Raw genomic sequence first — 21,591 nt, 5'->3', positions numbered from 1 at the left:
TTTACAATTCAATTGCCCTCTTCCCCACTTCCCACAGGGGGTGTCCTAGACCTTAACACCAGAACTACACAAAACAAAACAAAAAAGAACAAAGTTCTACCAAGGAAAGAGGATTGTTTTCTCATAGAACACTGTACTCATAATCAACTCTCCTAACTTTTCTTTTGAACAACTTGAATATAAGTTTCCCAAAAACATGAATTATTTTCCCATTGCTCAGCATGTTGTGTAAAGTAGTAGGCATTCACAGACTATTTCTTCATGCTCATGATTTTTAAAAAGACTTGATTTCCAAGTTCGTCTCTGTACATACCAGCAGAAACTTATTGCAAGAGCTTTTTTTGTGAAAAATTTTAATTGAGAATGAGAGGATTTATGAAAGTTTAACAGTATGCCCCATTTTACAAGAAAATTATAAAAGAAATGATAAGAATCTATCAATTGAGACAGATAAAAACCAGAAATGCTGTGAAATTTTTTTTCCTGATAAGTTTTTGTATTTCTCTGAAAAAAATCTAGATTTATAAAGGTCGTTGATTTAAATGAAATCCTTCACAAATGAAAGAAAATTCAAACTGACCAGAAAAAGGAGACTGACCTAAATCTGAGAAAAATGTTTTGGGTACCAAGTCACTCACCTTCTTTTAAAATATTTTTCAAAATATGGACTATTTTCTGCTCCTTTCCCTTTTCCTTAAAAAAAATTATAATATCACCAGTAAAGCTTAACTGCCATTTTTGCATATTTTTAAAATCCGATAATCCTATGAATAGCTACAGTACACTGAGAATTCGGCTGAAAACATTCACAGGCAATAACTCATTTACTTTTCAAAACACCCCTGTGAGGTAGGTATCATTATTATCATTCCTATTTCACAGATGTGGAAATAAAATTTAAGGAAATTATTCACTTTTCTCAACATCATACAACTAGCAAGGAATAGAAACTTAAGCAGTATTTGTAAATGCTTGAGAATGGAGATGGGATGAAATGGGAAAAATAGTCTAAAGAACACACAATTGTTTTGAGACATTTTTTTCACAGCTGTTTGGGAAAGGACAGCTGGGTTAACGCCTCATGAGATAATGTAAAGTCAAAGCATGTATGTTTTCATTCCCTAGCCATTACTTCAGAAAGCCCAGGACAATTTTTCTTTTTTTAATCAAGCCCCCCCTGCCCCCACTTTGTTTGGGGTAGAGACAGAGAGGTCTAACTATATTGTCCAGGATCTTGCTATATTGCCCAAGCTGGTCTCAAACTCCTGGCCTCAAGCAACCTCCCACCCTGGCCTCCCAAAGTGCTGGGATTACAGGTATGAACAACCACACTGGGCCAGATCAAGACTTTTCATTATCAACATTGATGACAAAGATTTGTTGAGTCCTACTGTGTGTATGGAGGGGACTACTCTGGGCACAAAAACATAAAAACATAAAGCAGACTTGTTTCCTTTCTGACAGCACAGTTTTTATCTCTTTGGGGGGAAGGTTTATGTATCTAGAGACAGGGTCTCTCTCTGTTGCCCAGACTGGAGTGCAGTGGTGCAATCACAGTTCACTGCAGCCTTGACCTCTCAGGCTCGAGCAATCTTTCCACTCAACCTCCCCAGTATCTGGGGTCACAGGTGTATACCACCACACCCGACTAATTTTTTGGTTTTTTAGAGACTGCTTCTGCCTACGTTGCCCAGGTTGGTCTTGAATCCTGAGCTCAAGTGATCCTCCTGCCTCAGCCTCCCAAAGTGCTGGGATTACAGGCATAAGCCCTTGTGCCCAACCTGCAAAGTTTATTTGAAATGTGTTTCTATAGCATACCATCATCACAGGGTATATTATATTTTAGATTCTTCTTCCCTAAAACAAAAACATGTCCTTGCCTGACAAAGAAACAATTAAAAGAAAAATGTCCTTAGAGACAATTCATATAAGTGTTTACATCAGTAGTAGACCACCAGTTAACTCCCCATGAAAGAAAACAATATTGATGATCATTGTACCTTTTGGCCCTGCCCCACGGTCTGAGTTAAGGTGAAGGGAGTCATACTGTAAAGGCAGCACTCCTTCCATTCAGTGGGTCCAATTAAAAAAGAAAAAAAAAGACAGCACTCCCATTTGTCCTCTTGCATGATGAGGAGGCTCCGGACGTCCAGGACACCTGACTCAATCTAACATTTGGGTGACCTTTTCTTCCCTTCCAGCATTGGTTTCTCAGTGTAACGACTCCATTTGCAGGTGCCAGTTTGTTTCCACAGCCTGAAGTTCATAAAGTTCACAGGACAAGTCTTCAGTCATGAGCTGGCTCATCATTACACTGTGCTTTTGGGAATGGAGGCTTCTTCAAGAGCCCTGCCTACCTCTAGCACATTAGCGTCACTCCCATATCGTCTTACTCAGAGAGTTGAAGGCTGGCAAGTAATAACCCTATTTTTAAAAGACTTTTGAAATCTCTCTGTATTTGCATAAAGTGCAAACATTTAACAGTTCACAGCTCATTGTAATTATTGAGTTCTACTCAGAGGAGTGTGGAGGGTCTTTGCTTTTAATCCCTTCATTCCATTGTCATTTCCTTGCAACACTCAGATCTGAAAGAGGCTTGCTGTGCATGGGAGCTACGTGGCTCAGGCTCTGACAGTCTGAAGGGCAGCTGGATCCAAGGGATTAGAGGTTATGATAGCTGAGCCTGTTACTTGGCGGGACGAAGACACAAGAAGTAACTCTTGACAAGTCAGAGCAAGTGTGATCTCAACGATAGCAGCTCTCCTGTTGCACTTTCCTAACAAATGAGATTGGGGCCCCTAAACATTTTTTGGAAGAATAAGTCTTCTGTTTTATGTTTTAACCAGTCACTGCAATTCAACAGAAATAAATGAATTCAAATCAAAGATGTTTTTGGGTACTTCAAAAAATATACTTGTAAACCGCTTTCAAAGTACTTCTTTTTTTTTAATTTAGAAACACAAGCTGGTCACTTTTTTTATAATCCCAGCACTTTGGGAGGCTGAGGTGGGAGGATCGCTTGAGCCCAGGAGTTTGAGACCAGCCTGGGCAACATAAGGAGATCTTGTCTCTACAGAAATTTTTTTAAAATTAGCCAGGCGTGGTGGCACATGCCTGTTCTAGCTACTCAGAAGGCTGAGGTTGGAGGATCGCTTGAGCCCAGGAATTTGAGGCTGCGGTGAAGTATGATTGCATCAGCACACCCCAGCCTGGGCAACAGAGTGAGGCTTTGTCTCTAATCTTTTATTTTTATTTTTAGAAGTGGAGTCTTGTTTTGTCGCCCAGGCCGGTGTGATCATAGCACACCATAACCTCGAACTCTTGAGCTCAAGCGATCATCCTGCTTCAACCTCCCAAGTGGCTGAGACTACGGGTACATGCCATCATCAAAGTACATTTTACTTTATAAAATAAATTAAGAAATTTTAGAATTGCACGTTGGTGGACACACATTTTATCCTTTATAATAGCTGCAGCCAAGTATAATTTTTTTTTGAGACAGGATCTCTCTGTTACCCAGGCTGGAGGGCAGTGGTACAATCTCAGCTCACTGCAACCTCTGCCCCCAGACTCAAGCCATTTTCTCACTTCAGCCTCCCAAGTAGCTGGGACTACAGGCACATGCCACTATGCCCAGCTAATTTTTTGTATTTTTGCAGAGACAAGATTTCCCCATGTTGCCCAGGCTGGTCTCAAACCTCTGACCTCAAAGGATCCACCCACCTCGGCCGTAAACCACTGTGTACAGCCCCAAGTGTAATTTTTTTTTCTTTTTTTTTTTTTTGAGACAGAGTTTCACTCTTGTTGTCCAGGCTGGAGTGCAATGGCGTGATCTTGGCTCACTGCAACCTCCGCCTACCAGGTTCAAGCGATTCTCCTGCCTCAGCCTCCTGAGTAGCTGGGATTACAGGCATGTGCCACCATGCCTGGCTAACTTTATATTTTTAGTAGAGATGGGGTTTTACCTTGTTGGCCAGGCTGGTCTCAAACTCCCGACTTCAGGTGATCCCCCTGCCTCGGCCTCCCAAAGTGCTGGGATTATAGGCATGAACCACTGTGCCCGGCCCCCAAGTATAATTTTTAACTCTCTTTTATGCCTCACTATGTGTCTCTTAAGTTCTGAAATTCAGTCCACTGATGAAAGCTCAAGGGGAAGTGTGGTATGGTGGAAGGAGTAAAAGGCTAAGAGTCAGATGAAGCTCTGGCTCTGCCATTTGTAAGTCATATTCATTTAATCTCTCTTTGGTTCGGTTTCCACAGCTGTGAAATGGCAAGAATGATAGCTGCCTCGCTTATTTTTACAAAGTTCTTGTAAAAATACTGGATAACATAAATGAATAATCTGAGCCAGTATATGAAGTAGGTACTAATATTACCCATTTTACAGAAGAGGTAACTAAAGGTTGAAGGGCTTAAGTGACTTGCTCAACATCACTCACAATATACCTGACTGAGTTTGTGCCCCATCCAGACTCACTTGGCCCCACTCTGCCCTACCCTTGGACCTTGGCCTCTTGCTCGGTGGAGCTCGTCTGGTCTCCTAACACCACAGCTGACCCACAGTTGACTCACACTCCCCTGGGGTGAGTGCCTGGCTTTGGCCTGACCTCCCTGATGCCCATGGCAGCACTGGGTTTGTTTCTCTTTCTTCCTTTTTTCCATTACTCTTTGCTTCCCTGGGATTACACCTCCCAATAAAGCAGCTGACATGCTCATACTCTAGTCCTGTGCTCTCCAATTCAGTAGCCACTAGCCATGTGTGGCTATTTAAATGTATTTGTTGTTTGTTTGTTTGTTTTGAGACAGAGTCTTGCTATGTTGCCCAGCCTGGAATGCAGTGGTACGATCTTGGCTTACTACAACCTCCACCTCCTGGGTTCAAGCAATCCTCCCACCTCAGCCTCCTGAGTAACTGGGACCACCACACTTGGCTAATTTTTATATTTTTTTTTGGTAGAGACAGGGTTTCACCATGTTGCCCAGGCTAGTCTCAAACTCCTGACCTCAAGCGATCCCCCTGCCTCAGTCTCCCAAAGTGCTGGGATTACAGGTGTGAGCCACCGCACCTGGACTTTAAATTTAAATTAACTAAAATTACATAAAATTAAAAATTTCATTTCTCACTCATGCTAGCCACATTTCAAATGATCAGTAGCTCCATGCAGCTAGTAACTACTGTATTTGATAGCACAGATAAAGAATATTTCCATCATTATAGAAAGTTGTATTGGCCAGGGCTGCTCAAAACCTTACCATAACCAATAACTTTTATTTTCATCAATTCCATTCTCGATGGGCACCTTCTGTCTTTCCAGTTTACTCTAGTATCCCCACTTAGATACCTTCCTTTCCACCTAGAGCTGTAGGATCCTGTGTCTTTCTCATCACTTTCTTGCCACATCCTCACCACCCCCCTTATCCAGCTTAATTTTCCCATCTTTCAATTTCTTCTTTGTTCTCTGTTCTTCCTTGATTACATTCATCTGCTGTGCAGGACATCATCTATTTGCCCCTCCAGATCCACTCTCCACCCTACTCTATGCCCTCGGAGGGTGACAGATGGTCTACAATCATTGGTGAACTTTTTTCTCTCTGGTTTCTGTTTGAGTTCAGTCCATGGCAAACCCAGAAGGAGACCAGAGAGAGGGGGGAAAGTGAGATTGAGATATTTATTCCTCCAATGTCCTCTCTAAGAAGTCATCATGGGCTAGCTTTGTCCCTTATTGGAGGGACTCAGCTCCTGAAAGAACTTTAACTATTCTCTATTTGAAAACCAAAACCAAAAAATACCCTCCTAGATTATTACTGGGCTCTGACAGACACCTATGACCCAGACTGGCCATCCTGAACTGGGTATTATATGCTCCACTAAAACCTAAAAATTGCACACAGCAGGTTTCTTTTACTTTCTTTCTTTTTTTTTTTTCTTTCTTTTCTTTTTTGAGACACAGTTTACTCACTCTATTGCTCAGGGTGGAGTACAGTGGTGCAATCTTGGCTCACTGCAACCTCCACCTCCTGGGTTCAAGCGATTCTCATGTCTCAGCCTCCTGAGTAGCTGGGTTTACAGGTGTGCACCACCACACCTGGCTAATTTTTGCATTTTTAGTAGAGACGGGGTTCCACCCTGTTGGCCAGGCTGGTCTCGAACTCCTGGCCTCAAGTGATCGCCTGGCTCAGCCTCCCAAAGTGCTGAGATTACAGGTATGAGCCACTGTGCCCGGCCAACAGCAGGTTTCTTATAAAATGGAAATGTTATGATCTGCTTGGTAAGCAGGTCTGGAAGACACAGCACCCTGCATGAGCAGGCAGCACAGACTCCCATGCTACCACTCCTACTGCTTTGTTGCCTCTTTCTCAATTCACACCAGTCCCTTTTGAGGAGTTTCATACAGCCACTTAATAGAGGAAGAAGAAACACATAGGCCAGTTCTGTTGATGGCTCTGCCTTTAGGCCATCCCCAGCTGGAAGTGTGTGGCTGCTACACCATCTCTCCACTGAAGGGTGGCTTAGAGAGACAACAGTGAAGGGAAATCCCTATGGGCAGAGTGCTAGATGTTGCATCTAGTTGTCCACTACATGTGGAAGAAGCGGTAGCCTGAGGGACAGAACTGTAGTAACACATGGACAGTGACCCAGTTGGTCAGGGACTTAGAAGGATTAATTTTGGAAAACCAGTGGGAAGGAGATCTGGGGAAGATGCATGTGGGTGAAGCTCTTGGAATGAGCACAAAGTGTGAAAATATTCATGTTCCATGTAAATGCCCACCAGAGGGTATCTACTAACAAAGAGGCTCTTAATGATCAGATGGACAAGATGCCTTGGCCTATGAATGTCAGTGAGTTTCTTTCCCCAGCCACTCATGGAGTTTGTGGACCTATGTACAGACAGGAATGAAAGCTGCGCATGGGCTCAACAACATGGGCTTTCCCTCATTAGGGCTACCACCAATGCTGAGTGCCCAATCTTCCAATAGCACAGGACAATTCTAAGCCCTTGACATGGCATCATTTCCTGGGGCAGACCAGAGAGCCAAATAGCGTTAGGTTTAGGGTAGACACATAAACTGAGTGTAGATTTATCTTCCCTATCCTCAGTGCTTCTGCCAGCTCCACCAGTTTTTGGACTCTCAGAATACTTTATCCACCACCCTCATATCCCGTGCAACACTGCCTAAGACGAGGGCATGAATTTTATGGCAAAGGAAGTGGAACAATGAACCCAACATCTGTGAACTTCACTTATCTTACCACAGACCTCACTACACAAAAGTAGTTGGTTTGATAGAACAGTAGAATGAATGCTCTGCTGAAATCCTAATGTCAGCTGGGAGAAAATACCCTGTAAGGGTGGGCTTCTGACCTACAAATTGAGGTATGCTTATAACCCAGTGACCAGCACATGATGTCCTCATTTTCCTAGCCTGAATGCATGAGCCTAGGAACCAAGGTTGGAGATGGCAGTGATCCCTCTCACTATGGCACCATAACCTTGAAGAATTTTTGCTTTTTGTCCCTGTGACATTGGCTTCTGTGTATTTACAGGTCCTAGTGCCCAAGGGAGGAATGCAGAAAATGGGGTTACTGTGTTGACTGGAGTAATCAATCCTGACTACCAGGGAAAAATTGAGTTGCTGCGACCCAGAGAAGACAGACAGCTATGTCTGAAACCCAGAGGATTCACTGCGCTGCCTCTTAGCACTCACTTGGCCAATTGTCTTAGTCAATGAAAAACCATAGTAGCACACAAGAAAAAGGTCACTAAGGACTCAAATCCTGTAGGAATAAAGGTCCGAGTCACCCTGTCAGGTAAAGAACCCCATTTAGCTAAGGTGCTATCAAAGGGTAAGGGAACATGAAATGAGTTGTAGAAGACAGCAGTTGGCCGGGCGCAGTGGCTCACGCCTGTAATCCCAGCACTTCGGGAGGCCGAGGCGGGTGGATCACGAGGTCAGGAGATCGAGACTATCCTGGCTAACACGGTGAAACCCCGTCTCTACTAAAAATACAAAAAAAAAATTAGCCGGGCTCAGTGGCAGGCGCCTGTAGTCCCAGCTACTCAGGAGACTGAGGCAGGAGAATGGCGTGAACCCAGGAGGCAGAGCTTGCAGTGAGCCGAGATCTCACCACTGCACTCCAGCCGGGTGACAGAGCGGGACTCTGTCTCAAAAAAAAAAATGAGCGAAGCTCTGTCTCAAAAAAAAGAAGACAGCAGTTATGGTTATCACCTGCTTAGACTTCATGACCTGTCTCAGAAGCAGGGATGGTAATAGCTATGTGTTACATGCTTTCATTTCATAAGAAACTGTGAAACTGGCCAGACACGGTGACTCATGCCTGTAATACCAGCACTTTGGGAGGCCAAGGCGGGTGGATCACCTGAGATAAGGAGTTTGAGACCAGCCTGGCCAATATGGTGAAACCCCATCTCTACTAAAAATACAAAAAAGTAGCTGGGCATGGTGGCGGGCGCCTGTAATCCCAGCTACTTGGGGGGCTGAGGTAGGAGAATCACTGGAACCCAGGAGGCAGAAGTTGCAGTGAGCTGAGATTGTGCCATTGCACTCCAGCCTAGGCAATAATAGCAAAACTACATCAAAAAGAAAGAAAGAGAGAGAAAGAGAAAGAAAGAAAGAAAGAAAGAAGAAAGAAAGAAAGAAAAAGAAAGAAAGAAAGAAAGAAAGAGAGAGAGAGAGAAAGAAAAGGAAAGAAAGAGAAAGAAAGAGGAAAGGAGGAAAGGAGGGAGGGAGGGAAGGAAGGAAGGAAGGAAGGAAGGAAGGAAGGAAGGAAGGAAGGAAGGAAGGAAGGAAGGAAAGTGTGAAACTGCCTTCCAATGTGGTTGTGTCGTTTTGCATATCAGTTGCAATGTCTCCATTTTCATTTCTAATTGAGCTTATTTAAGTCTTCTCTCTTCTTGGTTAATCTAGCTAATGGACTATCAATTTTGTTTATCTTTTCAAAGAACCAGCTTTTACATTTCATTGATGTTTTGTATTTTTTGGTTTCAATTTCATTTAGTTCTGCTCTGATCTTTGTTATTCTTTTTCTTCTGCTAGTTTTGGATTGGTTTGTTCTTGGTTTTATTTTTCCTTAGGATGGTTTGTTTCTTAATCAGTTTGTTATTGTTTTTCTATTTCCTTGAGGTGTCATGTTAGGTTTTAAGTTTGTGGTCTTTTACTTTGTTTTTTTTGTTTTTGTTTTTGAGACAGAGTCTTGCTCTGTCACCCAGGCTGCAGTGCAGAGGCATGACCTTGGATCACTGCAGGCTCTGCCTCCCAGGTTCAAGCAATTCTCTTGCCTCAGCCTCCTGGGTAGATGGGACTACAGGCATGCACCATTATGCCCAGCTAATTTTTGTATTTTTAGTAGAGATGGGGTTTTGCCATGTTGGCCAGGCTGACCTCAAGTGATTTACCTGCCTTGGCCTCCCAAAGTGCTGGGATCACAAGCATAAGCCACCATACTTGGCCCATCTTTTACATTTATTTATTTATTTACTTTTTTGGAGACGGAGTTTCGCTCTTATTGCCCAGGCTGGAGTGCAATGGTGTGATCTCAGCTCACTGCAACCTCGGCCTCCCGGGTTCAAGCAATTCTCCTGCCTCAGCCTCCTGAGTAGCTGTGATTACAGGCATGTGCCACCATGCCTGGTGAATTTTTTGTTTTTAGTGGAGTCGAGGTTTCACTGTGTTGGTCAGGATGGTCTCAAACTTCTGACCTCAGATGATCCTCTCGCTTTGGCCTCCCAAAGTGCTGGGATTACAGGCGTGAGCCACTGTACCCAGCCTACGTTTTTTAATGTAGGCATTTTGTACTATAAACTTTCCTTTTAGCACTGGTTTTACTGTATCCCAGAGATTTTGATCACTTGTGTCATTGTTATCATTACTTTTTTTTTAAAACAGAGTCTCACTTTGTCACCCTGGCTGGAGTACAGTGGCACAATCTCAGCTCACTGCAACCTCCACCTCCTGGGTTCAAGTAAGTCTCGTGCCTCAGCTGCTCGAGTAGCTGAGACCACAGGCATGCACCGCCATGACTGGTTAATTTTCTGTATTTTTAGTAGAGACAGGGTTTTACCATGTTGGCCAGACTGGTCGCAAACTCCTGGGCTCAAGTGATCTGCCCACCTTGGCCTCCTGAAGTGCTGGGATTACAGGCATGAGCCACCATGCCCAGCTGTTAACAATTTTGAAGAATTTTCAAATTTTCATCTTGAGGCTGGGCATAGTGGTTCACACCTATAATCACAGCACTTTGGAAGGCCAAAGTGGGAGGATCGCTTCAGCCCCAGAGTTTGAGACTAGCCGGGGCAGATAGTGAGACCTTGTCTCTATAAAAAATTAACAGCTTAGCCAAGCATGGTGGTGTGTGCCTGTAGTACCGGCTACTTAGGAGGCTGAGGTGGGAGGATTACCTAAGCCCAGAAGTTTGGGGCTGAAGTGAGCCAAGATTGCGCCACTGCACACCAGCCTGAGTGACAGAGTGAGACCCTATCACAAACAAACAAACAAACAAACAAAATCTTTCATCTTGATTTCATTGTTAACCTAAAAATTATTCAGGAGCAGATAGGTTAATTTCCATGTATTCGTATAGTTTTGAGTGTTCCTTTTGGAATTGATTTCTAGTTGTATTCTGCTATGGTCTGAGAAGTTACTTGATATGATTTCAATTTTTAATAATTTATTGAGACTTGTTTTTTGGCCATATGGTCTGTCTTTGAGAGTGTTTCATGTGGTGATAAGAAGAATGTATATTCTGCAGTTCTTGGCTAGAATGTTCTGTAAATGTCTGTTAGGTCCATTTTTTTCTAGAGGGAAGTTTAAGTTCAGTGTCTCTCTGTTGACTTTCTTCCTCAATGATCTATCTAGTGCTGACAGTGGTGTGTTGAAGTTCTCCACTATTATTGTGTAGCTGTCTATCTCTTCTTACCTCTAGTAGTGATTGTTTTATGAATTGGGAGCTCCAGAGTTAGGAGCATATATATTTAGGTTTAAAGTCTGTCTTATTTAAGAATAGCTACTCCTGCCCACTTTTGGTTTCCATTTGCATGGTATCTCTTTTTCCACCCCTTTATGTTGAGTTGAAAGAATACTTAAATGTTAAGTGAGTCTCTTGAAGATAGATATTTGGTTTGTGACTTTTTATCCATTTTACCAATCTGTATCTTTTAAGTGGAGCATATGGACCATTTACATTCAATGTTAATATTGAGATGTGAGCTATTGTTCTTCTCATTGTGTTACCTACTTTGTTTCTTCCTTGTTATTGCTTTATATGCCCTATGAATTTTATGCTTTCAAAAGTTTTTTTTTTTTTTTTTTGAGATGTAGTCTTACTCTATTGCCCAGGCTGGAGTACACTGGGAGAATCTCAATTGACTGCAACCTCTGCCTCCCAGGTTCAAGCGAATCTCATGCCTCAGCTTCCCAAGTAGCTGAGATTACAGATATGTGCCACCATGCCAGGCTAATTTTTGTATTTTTAGTAGAGATGGGGTTTCACCATGTTGGCCTGACTGGTGTTGAATTCCTGACCTCAGATGATCTGCCCACCTCGGCCTCCCAAAGTGCTAGGATTACAGGTGTGAGCCACCATGCCTGGCCCAAAAGTTTCTATTCCAGGGAGCATTGACCTTTTGTTTCAAAATTTAGAACTCCTTTTACCATTTCTTGTAGTAACAAATTCCCTCAGCATTTGCTTATCTGAGAAAGATGTTACTTCTCCTTCATTTATGTAACTTAGTTTTGCTGGATATATAATTCTTGCCTGATGGTTATTCTGCTTAAAGAGACTAAAGATAGGACCCCAGTCCTTCCTGGCTTAAAAATTTTCTGCTGAGAAGCCTACCATTAGTGTGATAGGTTTTCCTTTATAGGTTACCTGATGCTTTTGTCTCACTGCTCTTACAATTCTTTCCTTCACATTGACTTTAGATAGCCTGATACTATATGCCTTGATGATGTCCTTTTGCAATGATTCTCCCAGGAGTTCTTTGTGCTTTTTGTATCTGGATGTCTAAAGGTCAGGGAAGTTTTCCTCAATTATTCCTTCAAATATATTTTCCAAACTCTGCTTTTTCTTCTCCTCAGGAACACCAATGATTCTTGCGTTTGGATGTTTTAACATAATCTGACTTTTTTTGAGACTTCGTTCATTTTTTCAAGTTAAAAAAACTTAAAAAATTATTTTGTCTGATTGGGCTAATTCAAAAGCCTTTTCTTGAAGCTCTGAAATTCTTTCTTCTACTTGGTCTACTCTATTGTTAAATTTCCATTGCATTTTGTAATTCCCTAGATGTGTCATTTATTTCCAGAAGTTCAGATTAGTTTTTCTTTAAAATGTCTATCTCTTTAGAAAATTTTTCTTTCATATCCTGAATTGTTTTAAAAATGTCTTTATCTTGTTTTTCACCTTTCTCTTGTATCTGCTTGAGTAACCTAATAATCAATCCTTTGAATTCTTTATCTGGTATTTCAAAGATTTCATCTTGGTTTGGATCCATTGCTAGAGAGTTAGTGTGATCTTTTGGTGGTGTTATGGAGCCCTGTTTTTTATATTGCTACAGTTATTTTTCTGGGTCCTTCTCATTTGGGCAGACTATTTCTTATAATTATTTTTTCAATTTATTTTTGATTTAACTGTGTTTTTGCCTTATTTCTTTTTTTTCCCCTCTTGAGAATGTGACTTTAATGTTAACAGTTTATTGCAACCTAATTTGGCTGTATGTGCTTTCAGTGGAGAAGATGCTGTATGAGTTCCTTGGTCACAGAGAGTCTTTGTGTGATGCCTTTCTCAGATGCTAGTTGTAGTAGCAATGTGTTCAGTGTGTGAGTAGGTTCACTGTCTCCTGAAGGGCTGGAATGGCAGAGGTCTCATGAGGCTTATCTTGTTCCCCAGTGGTATGCACTTTATTTATTTATTTACTTTCCCCAGTGTATTATTCATTGAGTTAAGCAGTTCAGGCTTTAGGCCTGTAGGAGATGTCCATGAGTAAAAACCAGCTGTGGCTAAAGCAGGTGGGTAAATGTAATACCTAATGGTGGGCAGAGGTCCCAGTCTTGACAGAGGTGACTGAGGGAGCTCTCAGCAAAACGCACTGAGGTCAGGGGGAAGGGAGGGAGCCACCTCAGCTTCCCTACCACCCCAGCCGGGAAGCAGTTTACCTACTAGTCACACTCCTGGCTCAGTGTTCCAGCTATTTAGGTTAGATACGCCCCTCTGTTCATCTGCAAAAAAATGCTGATGTTCTATGTAGAAGTGGATTGTGACTCTACCCCTCATGCAAGGCTAAACCTGGAGGGCACTCCTCCTGTGGGGATGCAGTCACCCTGAAGAGTTCCAGGACTATCTACAGGTATACCCATGCCGAGGTTCCATGGGAGAAACCTCAGCTACGTGTGCAGTGATGGCTGAGGGGGAGAAGAAGTGTCCTTTTCCAAGACTCTTCATGCACACTAGGGCTGCCTGACTATTGGGGTAGAGCTACAGACTTTCCTCACTGAGCCCAGCACTGCACCTACGCCTCTGCACCTGTGCCCAGCACTGCACCTTCCCACAAGCAGAAAGTTCTGTGACTCAAGGCCTGCAGTCTGAATTATTTTGTCCCATGAGGTGTTCCCTTGTCGTAGTGCACTTCCCCTTTCCATAGGAGTAGAAGTCCCTGAGGGTCGGACTACTGTGAATTTTGGTGCTCTTCCACTCTACGAGGCTGCCACACTCCAGGCTGGTGCTGGGAAGTGTCTGCAAGGGATCTAGTAATATGGCTTGTCATCTAGTCTCCCAGCAGTAAGAACCAGTATCAGCTCTGATGGGGGTGGCAGGGGAGAGATGTAGACTCTGTGAGATTTCCCTGGTTATAAATAGCCTTAATGTGTTGGCTTTCTCAAATTCCAGCTGTAGTAGTAATGTGCTGGCCATGTGGACAGATGCAAGGCCTCCTGGTTAGCAAGAATGATGAAGGCAGTGGTGATACCTAAGGTTGGACAAAAGTTTTCTCCTTCCTGGCTGTTGTCTTATTGTGTCTGCAGATGCTGAAATGGACTGTGTTGGTTGGCCTCCAGCCAGGAGGTGGCACTTGCGAAAGAGTGCAAGCTGCGGTAGTAGTGGTGGGATTTGTGCTTGCCTTATGTTACCCAGGGGAGGTACTCTGGTATCTTAGGCAATGCGTGGGACCATGGAGCTTCCAAAAGTCCCTGTCCTTTGTGTTAAGCTACCAGGGCAGGTGGAGGAGAAAAGCCAGATGGGGGGTTGGGTCAGACAAGTCTGTGCTCTAGCTCTCCATGTGTGGGTGCAAGCAGCAGCCACAGTGGAAATCGGAGTACAGTTCTGGGGCCACTGGGTTAATGTTCCAGGGAGTAGCGCAACTACCTCTGCTGCACAGAAGAATCCACATGGGGACTGAGGGGTTGCAGGCAGCAGTAAGCCCTGCCCAGCTCCCATGCACTTAGCAAGGCAAGTCTCACACCCACTGTGTTCTAGTAGCAGCAGCTACCTGGGTTCAAGACAGCCTGTGCTCAGAACTCAGTACTGCCCCAGGTCATAAGCCTTCCCCACTGGAACAGAAACCTTGGCTTTCTGGTCATGCCTCTCCCAGTCTGCCCTGGTGAAGCAGGGGCACCCAGCTCCTGCACCCATGGCTATGGCAAACTTCCCACTTGTCCCTCAGTTCTGGCCAAAGGGTTTCATCCCTGCTCAAGATTATATCACAGCTGGGTGCAGTGGCTCACCCCTGCAATCCCAGCACTTTGGGAGGCTGAGGCAGGTGGATAACCTGAGGTCAGGAGTTCGAGACCAGCCTGGACAACATGGTGAAACCCCATCTCTAATAAAAATACAAGAATTAGCGGGGCATAGTGGCAGATGCCTGTAATCCCAGCTACTCAGGAGGCTGAGGCAGGAAAATCACTTAAACCCAGGAGGCAGAGGTTTCAAGTGAGCCTAGATCGTGCCACTGCACTCCAGCCTAGGTGACGGAGCGAGACTCCATCACAAAAAAAAAAAAAAGAGATTATATTGCAAATCTCATTTGCGAGCTTCTCTCAACCTGTGAATGCTGCCTGAGATAGCTGGCTGACTTCCATGAGGTCCCCTATGAGCTAGGATCAGGAATGGCTTCCCACCGTCTCCACTGGAGTCTGGGAGTGCACACAAAGCACATCCTAATGCCTCTCCTTCTCACATACTCCCCACAGCTCACTAAATCAGCTCCAGCACTGGGTAGAGTTAAGGCCTTGCCCCAGGGCCTGGATTGCCGGGTTGCCCAGTGGGAGTGAACATCACAGAGGCAGTCTCTCCTTCTCTCACTCTTGGAGATTCAGTTTTCTGCCTGCCTAATGATGTAGGCTGCTGCTCACTGCTTCCTTCACAGGGTAATTGGTTTCTTTCAGTTTTCCTTGTTAAGTTTCTGTGTTGCTTCTTGGAAAAAAATTCACAGTGTAAATCTGTATGCACTATTCTTTTTTTGTCTGTTTTTGTTTTTTTTTTTTGTTTTTTGAGACTGAGTCTTGCTCTGTCACCCAGGCTGGAGTGCAGTGGCGCAATCTTGGCTCACTGCAACCTCTGCCTCCCAGGTTCAAGTGATTCTCCTGCCTCAGCCTCCCGAGTAGCTGGGACTACAGGTGCACACCACCACACCCAGCTAATTTTTGTATTTTTAGTAGAGATAGTGTTTCACCATATTGTCCAGGCTGGTCTCTGTTACCTCAGGTGATCCGCCCACCTCAGCCTCCAAAAATGCTGGGATTACAAGTGAGGGCCACCGCACCTGGCCTGTATGCACTATTCTGTCTTTCCAAGTGAGAGAGGCATGCTAACAATGCCTCCAATCCACCATCTTGGAAACTAGATTTTTCCCCTATGTTTTCTTCTAGTAGTCTTATTTATACTTTTGGGTTTTAATTTAAATATTTTTGTGTGTATGTGACAGAGTCTCACTCCATTACCCAGGCTGGAGCGCAGTGGCGCAATCTTGATTCACTGCAGCCTCCACCTCCCAGGTTCAAGCAATTCTCGTGCCTCAGCCTCTCAAGCTGGAATTACAGGCATGCACCAGCACGCCCAGCTAAATTTTGTATTTTTCAGTAGAGACAGGGTTTTGCAATGTTGGCCAGGCTGGTTTCAAACCCCTGACCTCAAGTGATCTGCCCTCCTTGGCCTACCAAAGTGTTAGGATTACAGGCATGAGCCACCACACCCAACCTTTAATGTAGGTCTTTAATACATTTTGAGTTGATTTGTGTATAGGGTGGGAGGTGGGGGGCTAGTTTCATTCTTCTACATATGGATGTCCAGTTTTCCCAGAACTATTTATTGAAGAGACTGTCCTTTCCCCAATGAGTGTTCTTGACATCTTTGTCAAAATTTAGTTGACTGTAGATATCTGGATTACTTTCTGGGTTCTCTATTATGTTCCATTGGTCTCTGTGTCTGTTTTTATGACAGCATCATGCTGTTTCAGTTACTACAGCTTTGTAGTATGTTTTGAAGTGAGATAGTGGGAGGCTTCCAGCTTTGTTCTTGTTGCTCAAGATTACTTTGGCTATTCAGTATCTTTTGTTATTCCAAACAAATTTTAAGGGTTTTTTTTTCTGTTTTTGTGAAAAATGTTATTGGTATATTGGTAGGGATTGCATTGAATCTGTAGATTGCTTTGAGTAATGCAATCATTTTAACAATAATTATTCTTCTGATCCCTGGCCACAGCTAACAAATCCTACTTTGTTGGGAGACTTTTTATTACTGCTTCAATCTCGTTACTTGCTATTGATCTATTCAGGCTTTCTATTTCTTCCTGGTTCAATTTTGGCTGGTTGCATGTACAGGAATTTATCCACCCCCTCTAAGTTTTCAAATGTATTGGTGTATAGTTGTTCATAATAGTCCATAATGATCCTTTGTATTTCTGTGGTATTGGTAGTGATGTCTCCTTTTTTGCTTTTGATTTTATTTGGGTTTTATCTCTTTTTTTCTTAGTTGGCTTGTCAATTTTGTTTATTATTTCCATCCATTTACTTTTAATCTATATGTCTTTATATCTAAAGTGGATTTTTGTAGACAACAAACAGTTGGATCTTTATATATATATAAAGATATATAAAATTTTTGAGAGACACAGTATCTCTCTGTCACCCAGGCTAGACTGCAGTGGCACAATCTTGGCCCACTACAACCTCTGCCTCCCAGGTTCAAGTGATTCTTGTACCTCAGCCTCCCAAGTAGCTGGGATTACAGGCATGTGTCACCATGCCTAATTTTTGGGTTGTTTTGTTGTTGTTGTTTTACTTTTCTTATGAGACAGAGTCTCGTTCTGTCACCCAGGCTACAGTGCAGTGGCATGATCTCAGCTCACTGCAAACTCTGCTTCCCAGGTTCAAGCGATTCTCCTGCCTCAGCCTCCTGAGTAGCTGGGATTACATGAGTGCACCACCACACCTAGCTAATTTTTGTATTTTTAGTAGAGACAAGGCTTCGCCATGTTGTCCAGGTTAGTCTCAGGTGATCTGCCCACCTAAGCCTTCCAAAGTGCTGGGATTATAGATGTGAGCCACTGTGCCTGGCCTTTACCTTACTTTTTGATCCACTCTGACAATCTGTCTTTTAATTGGTGTGTTTAGACCATCGATGTTTAAGTAATTATTGACATTGGGTTAATATATATCATATTTGTTACTGTTTTTTATTTGTTGTCCTTGTTCTTTTTGTCTTCCATGCTTGTCCTGAGTTTCATGGCAGGAGTGGTAGCATTTTATAGAATTCATTTTTTAATCTCAGCTTATCAGTTATGCTACCTTTTTAACTTCTTTTTAGTGGTTGCTTTAGAATTTGCAATATACCTTCCTCGAAACAGGCAGTGAAAAATAAAAAAAAAAGAGTTTGCAATATACATTTATAACTAATCCAAGTCCACTTTCAAATAACACTATAGTGCTTCACAGGTAGTACAAGTACCTTATAATGACAAAATAATTCTAATTCCTCCCTCCTATCACTTGTATAATAGCTTTCATTCATTTCACTTATACATAAGCATATACATGTGTTTATATTTGCTTATATATGTTACATAAATGTATATATGTTTATGTGTGTGTATATATCTATCTGTTAGATCAATTAGAAATATAAATTTGAAGTTTTATTTTACCTTCACTTATTCCTTCTTTGACGTTCTTCCTTTATGTAGATCTGAGTTTTTGACTTATATTGTTTTCCTTCTCTCTAAAGAAATTTTAAAAACATTTTTTGCAAGAGCAACAGATTCCCTTAATTTTCATTTATCTGAGAAAGTCTTTGTTTCTTCTTCACTTTTGAAGAATAATTTTGCAGGGTACAGAATTCTACGTTAGGGTTTTTTTCTCTCAAATCTTAAATATTTCATTCCATTCTCTTCTTATTTGTATGGTTTCTGAGATAAATTGGATGTAATTTGTATCTTTGCTCCTCTATATCTAAGGTTTTCTTCCCCCTCCTAACTTCTTTCAGGATTTGTTTTCTCTTTGATTTTTTTCCATTCAAATATGATATGCCAGCTGTAGTATTTTTTTGGCATTTATCCTGCTAAGTGTTCTCTGAGCTTCCTGAATCTGTGGTTTGGTATCTGACATTAATTTGATGAAATTCTAGGGCCGGGCACAGTGGCTCACGCCTGTAATCCCAGGACTTTGGGAGACTGAGGCAGAAGGATCACCTGGGTCAGGAGTTTGAGACTGGCCTGGCCAACAAGGTGAAACCCCGTTTCTACCAAAAATACAAAAATTAGCCTGGCATGGTGGTGGGTGCCTGTAATCCCAGCTACTTGGGAGGCTGAGGCAGGAGAATTGCTTGAACCAGAGGCCAAAGTTGCAGTGAGCTGAGATCGCATCATTGCACTCCAGCCTGGGTGACAAGAGCAAAACTCCATCTCAACAACAACAACAAAAAATTAATTTGATGAAATTCTCAGCCTTTATTATGTCATAATATTGCTTCTTTTCTTTTCTCTTTCTCTTCTTCTTCTGGATTTCCCATTACATGCTGTTATACCTTTTTTAGTTGTCATACAGTTCTTGGGTGTTCTGCACTGGTTTTTCCTTAGTCTTTTTTATCTTTGCTTTTCAATTATGACAATTTCTTTTCTTTTCTTCTTTTTTTTTTTTTTTTGAGTGGAGTTTCACTTTGTTGTCCAGGCTAGAGTGCAGTGGCATGATCTCAGCTCAGTGCAATCTCGACCTCTTGGGTTCAAGCAATTCTCCTCCCTCAGCCTCCTGAGTAGTTAGGACTACAAGCGCACACCACCATGCCCGGCTAATTTTTGTATTTTTAGTAGAGACAGGGTTTCACTATATTGGCCAGGCTGGTCTGGAACTCCTGACCTCAAGTGATTCACCTGCCTCAGCCTCCTAAAGTGCTGGGATTATAGATGTGAACCACCATGCCTGGCCACTTTTTTCTTTTCTTTAAGACACTCTGTCACCCAGGCTGGAGTGCAGTGGTGCAATCTCAGCTTATGGCCACCTCAACCTCCCAGATTCAAGTGGTCCTCCCACCTCAGCCTCCTGGGACTACAGGTGCATGCCACCATGGCCAGGTAATTTTTTTTTTTAAGTCTTTTTGTAGAGATGGGTTTTCCCTATGTCGCCCATGGCTGTTTTTGAACTTCTGGGCTCAAGTGATCCACATGCCTCTGCCTCCCAAAGTGTTGGGATTACAGGTGTGAGTTGCTGTACCTGGCCCAGTTTTGGCAATGTCTTTGAGAAATTCTTAAGCTCAGAAATTCTTTCCTTAGACCTGCTGAATCTCCTAACAAGTGCATCAGAGTTATTGTTCATTTCTGTTAGTTTTTAATGTCCAGCATTTCTTTTTTGATTCTTTCTCAGAATTTCCATCTCCCTTCTTACATTGCCCACATGTGTTTGCAATCTGTCTACTTTATCCATTAGAATTCTTAGCATATTAATCATAGTTGTTTTAAATTCTTGGTCTGATAATCCCAACATCCCTGCCATGTATGAGTCTGTTTCTAATGCTTGCTCTGTCTCTTCAAACTGTGTTTTTTGCCTTTCAGTATGCCTTGTAATTTTTTATTAATAGCCAGACATGAGCGACTAGATAAAAAGAACTGCTATAAATAGGCCATTAGTAATGTGGTGGTAGTGCATGGGAGTTCTCATGAGAGAAAGCGTCCTTTAATCCTAGGATGAGGTCTCAGTCTTTCAGTGAGCCTGTGCCTTTGGACTGTGAACTTTACTCATGATGCTCAATTTTGTTCCTCCCCCTTAGGTGGCATGAGGATAATTCATGAGCTTACTCCAGTGACATGGTTTGGCTCTGTCCCCACCAAACCTCAACTTGAATTGTATCTCCCAGAATTCCCACATGTTGTGGGTGGGACCCAGGGGAAGGTAATTAAATCATGGGGGCCTGTATTTCCCGTGTTATTCTTGTGATAGTAAGTCTCACGAAATCTGATGGGTTTATCAGGGGTTTTCGCTTTTGCTTCTTCCTCATTTTCTCTTGCTGCCGCCATATAAGAAGTGCACCATTAGCTTCCCCAGCCATGTGGAACTGTAAGTCCAATTAAACCTCTTTTTCTTCCCTGTCTTGGGTATGTCTTTATCAGCAGCGTGAAAACAGACTAATACACTCCAGCTAGACTGGGCTGGGGTTGGGTATTTCCCTTCCCCCAGGTCAGTTAGGCTCTGATAAAACCCCAGCAGATAATACTCTGGTAAGTTTCTCCTGAGGGCAGACCTGTTAAAAAGAACAGAATGCTTTGGTATTTTTCTACTTTTTTTTTTGAGACGGAGTCTCACTCTGTCGCCCAGGCTGGAGTGCAGAGTACAATTGTGCGATCTCGGCTCACTGCAACCTCTGCCTCCCAGATTCAAGCAATTCTCCTGCCTCAGACTCCAAGTAGCTGGGATTACAGGCGCGCACCACCATACCAGGCTAATTTTTGTATTTTTATTGGAGACGGTGTTTCACCATGTTGGCCAGGCTGGTCTTGAACTCCTGACCTCAAGTGATCTGCCTGCCTCGGCCTCCCTAAGTGCTGGGATTACAGGCGTGAACCACTGAGCCGCGCTGCTTTGGTATTTTTCAAAATGGTTCCTTTTCCCCTCCCACTGCCAGAAGCACAAGGGAATTTTTTTTTTTCTAATATTCACCTTAAGTCCTGTTTTAGCTCCTGGGAATAAAACTCACAAAACTATATGAACCCCCTACCACTGGGTCCCCTGAAGCTTTTGACTCTGAGACTTGACCACTCCCGAAATTCATCAATTACAATTTATGTTTTCCTACCCTGGCACTGGTTCCCATGGAGGAATCTGTATACCGGTTTCTGCTTTGGGAAATTATGACTCTCTGTCTCTCTCCAGTTTTTAGGGCAGCAGTTTACCTTGTGACCCCACTTCTCTTATGGATCTAAAAAGAGTTGTTGATTTTTTTTTGTTTGTTTTTTGAGACGGAGTCTCGCTCTGTCACCCAGGCTGGAGTGCAGTAGCACGATCTTGACTCACTGCAAGCTCCGCCTCCCGGGTTCACGCCATTCTCCTGCCTCAGCCTCCCGAGTAGCTGGGACTACAGGCGCCCGCCACCACGCCCAG

The 21,591-nt window shown here is 43.0% G+C and overlaps 1 annotated feature.

Annotated features, from left to right (window-relative positions):
- Positions 9,439 to 9,940: an enhancer, noted in NCBI's record as "H3K27ac hESC enhancer chr7:39954013-39954514 (GRCh37/hg19 assembly coordinates)". NCBI's record gives its function as "activates a minimal SCP1, AML or CMV promoter by ChIP-STARR-seq in naive H9 embryonic stem cells {active_cell/tissue: H9 hESC(naive)}" and the evidence as "EXISTENCE:reporter gene assay evidence [ECO:0000049][PMID:30033119]".

The sequence above is a fragment of the Homo sapiens genome, chromosome 7 (assembly GCF_000001405.40).
Source record: "Homo sapiens chromosome 7, GRCh38.p14 Primary Assembly".
Taxonomy (NCBI): Eukaryota; Metazoa; Chordata; class Mammalia; order Primates; family Hominidae; genus Homo; species Homo sapiens.
The sequence above is the reverse complement of the archived record's forward strand: the minus strand, read 5'-3'. Positions and strand labels throughout refer to the sequence as shown.